At 33.8% G+C, this 8377-nt stretch overlaps 1 long non-coding RNA gene across 2 annotated transcripts; it reads right to left on the reverse strand.

The window, feature by feature from the left end:
- Positions 1-3374: 3374 nt before the first annotated feature.
- Positions 3375-6511, reverse strand: LOC105374562 (uncharacterized). Of its 2 annotated transcripts, none has more exons than XR_925543.1 (3): positions 6435-6511; positions 4349-4438; positions 3375-3442 (listed from the first exon to the last, which is right to left on the reverse strand). It is a non-coding gene; the product is annotated as an uncharacterized LOC105374562 (long non-coding RNA). The 2 variants fall into 2 exon arrangements; XR_925544.1 differs by lacking the exon at positions 6435-6511 and adding an exon at positions 6265-6327.
- Between the last annotated feature and the right edge of the window lie 1866 nt (positions 6512-8377).

Below are 8377 nucleotides of genomic sequence, written 5' to 3' on the forward strand. Positions count from 1 at the left end.
TCTTACAAACTTCCATGAATTCCTATTTTGTTTACGGTCCCTGTAGCAAAGCTTAACCTGCTTTGCATCATTTAAGAACGCTTTTGCTTTGCATGCAAATGTTTATAAATTTTCAAATTAAAAATAGAAAATCAATTCAAGTATACCAATGCCAATATTCCTTCTTGGTAAAATAAGGATAGTATGATAAACATTACTCAATAGTAATAAACATCAATGTTAGAGCCATGAGGTCATTTTTTTGAGAACATGCTATATTTTACTTTCTGTGTCTGGCTTATTTCATTTAATATAATGTCCTCCAGTTCTGCCATGTTGTTGCAAATAACAGGATTTCATTATTTATGGCTGAATAATATATCATGTATATTCCAGTTAAACCCATTTTCTTTATTCATTCATTCATTGATTAACAAAGATTTATTTGGTATCTTGGCAATTGTGAATAGTGATGCAATAAACATAGGAGTGTAGATATATCTTTGATATGCTGTTTTTCTTCCTTTGAATATGGGATTTCTGGATCATATGGTAGTCCTATTTTTAGTTTTTTGAGGAACCTCCACACTGTTTTCTATAGTGGCTGTAATAACTTATATCCATACCAACTGTATGCAAGAAAAGAACTTGGTATCTTGACTCAGGCATTTCTTATTGTAATCCTAGTTTCCTATGCCTGATTTATTTGAAAGCTTCAGCTTTCACTTATGTACATAAAGTTATGATTTATAACAACTGGATGTTTATGTTGAATTCCTTTGTAAATATCATGAATACCACTGAATGATTATATTTTTATTAAAACTTCAAGATAAAATAAAATTTTAAAAATTACTGTTTATTATTTCATTATTTCAAAGCTCTTATTTAAAAACTGCAGAATCTATAAGTGCTATCATAAATGTCAAAAGGCTAAGAAATAAATATTGACTCTCTTTTATGCAAGTTATAATTTAGTAATTAATGGATTATATACAGAAAGCCACACAAATAAAACTAGAATTAAAGGCACATACATAATAATAATTTGTTTTAATGACCTAAAGAAAATAAAGAATTGGTTGGCCAGGCGTGGGGGCGCATGCCTGTAATCCCAGCACTTTGGGAGGCTGAGGCAGGAGAATCACTTGAATACAGGAAGCAGAGTTCGAAGTGAGCCGAGATCATGCCACTGCACTCTAGCCCGGGCAACAGAGCAAGACTCTGTCTCAAAAAAAAAAAAAAAAAAAAAGAAAGAAAGAATTGGTCAAAGCAGGTGGCTCCTTGAAGTAGTGAATCTCAGTACCCCTTTTAACTAGAGACTTAATGCTCACTGTAGAGTTTTATTCACACAAAGAGAAAAACTTAGAAAAGCGTCTGATTCTTAGACTCTTAGTCTCTGTCCTTAAGAAATCACCTCACTTTTTAAATATGGCATAAAGTGCTTTTCAAAAAGAGAGTTGATGAACTTTGTTGGTTTAGCATCTCTTACTGGGCACAGGACTAAAGACTTTGAGGTATCTATATTAATTTGTGTGGGGAGTAGATGAACTGTTCTTTTATTAGTTTTGCTCCATTTTATTAAAAGGTTGCAGAGGGTAGTATTGAGCAGTGCTTTGCAGTTTATAATGAAACTTGAAAGTAAACTACCTGAATCCTAGGTCTTGCTCCCTCTTTTAAACTCATTCAGAATAAAAGCAAGTATGATTATTTGATGTTCATTATCCTACTAATGATTCTGACATAAAGAGCATATTACATGCCATAATGAATCTAACTTACTGTTGTCCAATCATTTACCTTTCATTTGAGTATGAATCTTGAACTTGGAGGACTAACTTCTTGAATAGTGCCACTGAGGTCACAACACAAATGTGGATTAGGTGTCTGCTTTAGCCAGGCACAGGGAGACACATGTCGATGTTCTCACTCATATGTGGGAGCCAAAAACATTGATCTCATGGAAACAGAGAATAGAATGGTACGTACTAGAGGCTGGGAACAGTGCATGGGTGGAAAGGAGGATAAAAAGAGATTAATAAATAAATAAAAACTTATGGTTAGATAGAACAAATAAGCCCTAGTAGCAGAATAGGGTGACTATAGTTAATGACATTATATCGTATGTATTAGTTAGAAGATAGAAATTGAAATGTTACTGACACATAGAAATGATAAATACACCAGGTGACGTATACTCCAAATACCATGACTTGATCATTACATACTCTATGATGTAACAAATACTTTGCTTGTACCCCATATATTTGTAAAATATTTTAATTCAATAAAAATAATACGTTTTTATTCTTAGTTAAAAACAGACACCTACTTTTTTCCAAATTCTGTCATAGATTACTGAAAGTAAAAAAGATAAAAGAGACTTCTGGCCTTATTAGAAATTAAGAGTTTAATATACATCCTTAAATTCAATCACTTCCATGGCCAGTGAAGAATGAGTGGCCTTCATCATTATAGACAATGGACATGATAATAAAATAAATCCTACAAAGAGGAGACTTTTTCATGATACTGTGTTTATTTTCAGTTCTAAATAACGGAGCAGCAATTACAGTTGGTGGAGTTCCCCATAAATATTTAAAATACCAAACAGGCAGTTAACAGAAATATGTGACCCATTTATACAAGATAGTTTGGGCTTCAGATTATAGCAACTTCTAGTTTGAGGGGATCTTGAAAATTATGCATGCTCAGTTTACTCCTAGTATAAGCATAGACCAGTAGAAAAAGAGTTGAGGCTTTGGAGCCAAACTGTCAAGGTTAAAATCCCTGTTCAAACTCTTAGTCCCTGACATTAGGAAAACACCTCACTTTTATTTTCATATTTATAAAAGGAAGGAAGTCCTTTTATCATAAATTCACTTACTGCTTAATTTAATACATGCAAAGAGTAAGTGATATTGGCTCACACATAATAAAACACTCAACAAAACTTAGGTATTATGAAAATTTTAAGAATTATTGCTCTTCTTGACAGAAATGGTTAACATTTTCTGAGAGAGACCATATAGGTAATCAATGTTTTAAGCTTCACAGCCCATATGATGTATTTCCCAATTATTCAAATCTGCCCTTGCAGTGTGAAAGGAGACATAGAAAATATGTAAATGAAAGATGACTTTTACAATAAAACTTTATATATGGACACTACAATTTGAATGTCATGTAATTTATGTTCCACAAAATGTTCTTTAATTGGTATGTTTCAGCCATTTCAAAATGTAGAAACCGTACATAGATTTGGGGCTGTACAAAAGCCACCTGGATTTGCACCACTGACAGTAGTTTGAGGGCCCTGTTGTGTTGTGATGCCCCTTTTGCTCCACAGGCTTGCTTGCCTGGTCCCAAAAATGGAAATTGTAGGACCACCTTACCTGATACAGAGGTGTTGCAATATAATAGTAAGGAAGATATGCTAAAACAAAGTCAGAAAATTGATCAACTGTAAAGAAAAAAGATGTATTTTTAAAGTTGAACAATTGAACCAGAAAAACTTACTTAAGAATATATCTTTATTTTTTCTCCTTTTCAACAATAATCACATTTGTAATTAGCAGTAGACTATCTATGTCTTTCCTATCGTACTGTTAACTCCACAAAGACAGAAATTCTCTGTATTCTGTTTAGTCTGATCTCCAGTATTTACTAGAGTACTTGGTACATATTAGGTTGTTAATAATATAAATTGAATAAATGAATTAGTGAATAGATAGAAATAAAAAAATCAATATTTTACATTTTAATCCTATTTATTCCATTTTCTAAAGTCAAGATTTAAATAAGTGGAAGAAAATTTGGGTTACAAACTAGTGGATACTTGCTGAAATAATTACAATTGTTTCCTTCTAGATCATGTGTTGATATGTCCGTTGGCCATGAACTTGATTATGTGACTCTCTTATAACTTCCTGGAAACCCACAAACCAACTTCATCACTTTCTCACTTTCCATTCTCAGACACTTCTAATCATTATTATTTCTTCTTTTTTGATCTAAGTTTATTGTTGAATATAAGCAAATACTCTTGAATAATGATTACATCCAATCTATCTTTTAAAATGAAAATGAGTATCAGTGAAATTTAACAGCTTATAAATTTAAAACATTCAATAGGCAAAATAGAGTTTTTTTTAAGATACGAAAAATTTATTAGGCTACATTGCTAACATTTAAAGAGCTTTCCTCCTCTTTTCCTTCCTACTTCTATTTTCCAATTATCTAACTGAAATCTTGATTTATTTGTTCTGCATCTTTTCAGCAACTGTTTCTCTAAAGATTAAGTTTATATATTTTCTTCTTCAAACATGTTCCAATTTCTGTCTTCTAATAGATCCTCTTTATTGCCTACCTGTCTTCGATACTGTTGACAGATTTTCACTCTCATTAAACCACCCATGCTCCTGCAGCCTCAGGTAGCAACCACAGCAATGGTCTGTTCCTAAAGATAGAAAATGAGATTCCAAACTTTTTCTGGAATGTAACAAAGAGAGAAAAGTTTCTTTTCATTTGCAGTCCTCAGAATCATCTGGCATTTCCCCACAGATTTGCAACAGGAAAGTGATTTAGAACTTCCACCAATGTATTCCCTAGAGCTCTTTGTAGGAACAGTAAAGAGCTTTGAGGGGTGAGATCATTTCCCACATCTTTCTAACTTCCCTACCTTTTCCCACTGGATTCATCATTCTTATCTAAGAAGGAGGGAAGATTCTCATTTTCCATGCTTTTACTCTACCACAGTGTCCTCAAAGGAGTAATTTATGGGAATATGGGCTCCAGAGTGCCTTTAAATTTTCTAGCAAGTGCAATCAGCACACCCAATGGAAGGCATACTGTATTCCACTATATCAGAGGTGAGGCAATTGGCATTGTGCCATTTACTTAACATGCTAGGCAGAACTAAGTAATTTATTTTATGTCACTTGGTATTCTTAGATAATATGCTTCTACAATTTGCCTTCATTTGAAGGACACTATTATATTTAAGTATTGGATCTCATACCTTTGAACATCATGAACTTTGGATAAATTATTTATTTAATCCAGATACCTATATGTAGACCTATGGTTTAAAGACAGTATTATGCCTATTAGCATTGTATCACTACAAAGTCACAATTGATATTGATTTTTATATTATCCAATTTTTAAATCAGTGTCATAGATCAAGGGTTGCAGTACAATGAATTTATGACTACAAAACAGCAGCAAAACAAAAAATATAATTAGTATGATCAACAAAGTTTCTGTAATGTAGAATTACAAGGAACAAAATAGACATAATTTACACTTTATATAGCACAGCAAAAAGAGAAGAAATAATCATTAATTTTTATTCAAAAAAGCTATTGTTCAAGAAACCCTATAAACAATATATACTTCAATTTTTACAATAAATCGCTATCAGCAGGTTCAAATAAATTATTTCATTAATCATTCAAAATTATAATATGTCAGTCATATAGTCTGGTTAAAATTCACTCAGTTTATTTATGCCAAATTTGTTTTTATTAAATTTACATTATAGGTGACACAGACTAATCTTAATGTTCTGTTATTTAAGGCCAGTTGTCTGTCTTTGTAATATTTACACATGGGGTCATAGAATGTTTCTAATCTCCAATTTGCCACTATGGCTTTGTTTCCTTTCTGTTGTCATATTTTCTTAATTCTAATTGATACTTCTTTTTTTCTCTCTCTCTCTGACACACACACATACATATTCACACACACCCATTTGCACATCCACAAAATTTACCGCTACCATCTCTTTGCCGTTTGTTTCTAATTTCCATACTTTGTAATTTATTTGACATTACAAGGGCCATATTGTTGGAAGACCATAGAAAGAAACAAAAAAAGTTTGTTACTGCATTGTAATTTGAATTATTTCAATGGCTTTGGTGCAAAAATTGCCTTATAACTATTAGACCTAATTTTACTCTGTTATAAATGTAGCTGTACGATTATAAACAGCTGAGGAGATCAGTGGAATGAAGTTAGGCTAAACTATGAAAGATGAAAGGCATAATCCATCTTTTATGTTCCCCAAACAAGTGGCAAAAAATGAAAAAAAAAAGTGTTTGACTATATTCATTCTTCAACAGTCTCGAACAAATCTATGTTACATGTTGTGAAACGTAGTCCTCAATTCATTATACTCATGCTAGTATATAGCTGATCTCCAATTTTATTATCAAAATATTCACTTAAAAACAACTCATTGCATTTTTTTTGTTGCTAACATACTCAGTTGCTATACATTACCTCATATTTTTCACTAGTCGTTTTAATTATTTTGAAAAGTTATTCTTTTTTACAGAAACCAACCCCAAACAACATATAGAAATTCCCATTGAAACATCTATTTTGTTTCTAGACCATGGGTAGAGATGTATAGCAACAAATTTAAACACATAATTTTATGTCCTGTATACCTCTCTACTTTCAGGTTACAAAACTTAATTTGAGCAAACAAGTATGGGAGGCAGTTTGCTACGAGAAGGTAGGTAGCCTTTCACAGAGTTCTCAAAGTATAGCCAGGATTAAGGCTGAGAGACTTCTGGAACGGGGAATTAGAACGCTGACAGGGAACCAGGAAGTGTTCCTTTCCCTCATTATCTCTGCTTCTCTTGTCCTGTCTTTACTCTCTTCTTCTTCAAACTCTCTTCCTCTGCTTTGTTCACAAGGGCGCTGGCTCATTTGTGCTCCCTAGCTATCTTCCCTGTCTCTCTTTGACTCTTTTTTTTTCTACCACTTTTTATTCTAAATACAAGTATTGTGTGATGATTGTTTCAACTTAGGTTACTCTGCCTGGCCTAGTCAGTTTGGAAGGAGGAAGTGAGCAGAATTACATTGTTCCTAATGGTTGTGAGGGACTGTTACTATGAATGGGAGGAAGATGGTACAAATAGAAAGGTCAGGGCCCTCAGCGGTGGCTCACGCCTGTAATTCCAGCACTTCGGGAGGCCGAGGTGGGCGGATCACGAGGTCAGGGTATTGAGACCATCCTGGCTAACACGGTGAAACCTCGTCTCTACTAAAAATACAAAAATTAGCCTGGCATGGTGGTGGGTGCCTAAAGTCCCAGCTACTCGGGAGGCTGAGGCAGGAGAATGGCGTGAACCTGGGAGGCGGAGCTTGCAGTGAGCAGAGATCGCACCACTGCACTCCAGCCTGGGCAACAGAGGGAGACACAGTCTCAAAAATAAATAAATAAATAAATAAGAAAGGTCATTATAAGCTCTGCAGCCAGTTCAAAATATACCCACTATCTAGGATGTGTTTCACTTCACATGAAGTTCTTATAATCAGAATTTACATATCAAAGCTGCCCTTGAGTTAAGCATTTGAATAATCAGCCGCAATAATCATTCTACAGGATTTCTTCCCTTTAAATAAAGAAGACAATAATGCATACAAGGTTATTCAATGTCCACCTTTTACTTTATTCTAAGTTGCTTATAGTGAGGCTATATCCCCACTAACATCATTATTGATGAAGAAGATTGAGAAAGAAAAAAAGTTTATTAAGAGCATTCATAAACAAAATCATTACATAAATTTAGTTATAAAAATCAGTGATTTGAGAAGGGAAAGTATATAGCAGTGTCAAATATTTAAGAGTTAAGGTTAAAACATGAAAATGACTATCACCTGTGGCAACGCATTCCACATGTCCTATATAGAAAATTGTGGGCCTTAACAAAAATGCTTTGAGACTTTTTGTTAACTACAAATGTTAGAACGGGTTTCCTATTTCTCAACCAGAACCAAAAATACTGGTTGGGAAATAGGAAACCCGTTCTAACATTTGTAGTGAGTGGGAAATGAGAAGTTTTCAGATAAACAATTATGGCAGGAAAAAAAATGTCAACAAATAGCCATTACCACCTTCTTCCACTTAGTTATAGATCCCTCTGAAATTTAGTTGGCCATGTGGCTGCTCAGCTGCAAAAAAATATACTATATTCTCTAGCAACTTGGTATAGCCATGTTTTGGCTTAAGCCATGTGAGTAGAAATGAAATTTCCAATTTGGAGATTTCCCACTGTTTCAGATTTCCTCTTTCCTGATAGCAGAGATAAGATGAGATTGGAAGGAACTGCTTTGGACACAGAAGTGTGAACCCTGTGCTAAGGAGTCATGGCACCCCTAATACTTCTTTTCCACTTAGTTCTGAGCTGTTTCTTCTTAGAGAAATATACTTCAGTCCTATTTAGGCCCTGAAATGTTGACTTCTCTTGGTGATAACAAATGATAATCTTTAACTTTACTAATACATTTAACAGGGAAAGAGCCCATTAGCCTTTAAGACTGAAGAGTAAATTGAAAAGTTGGGGGATGTATTTTAGGTACAGCAGAACCGTAGGTCCTGGCA

This window comes from Homo sapiens, chromosome 4 (assembly GCF_000001405.40).
Source record: "Homo sapiens chromosome 4, GRCh38.p14 Primary Assembly".
Lineage (NCBI taxonomy): Eukaryota > Metazoa > Chordata > Mammalia > Primates > Hominidae > Homo > Homo sapiens.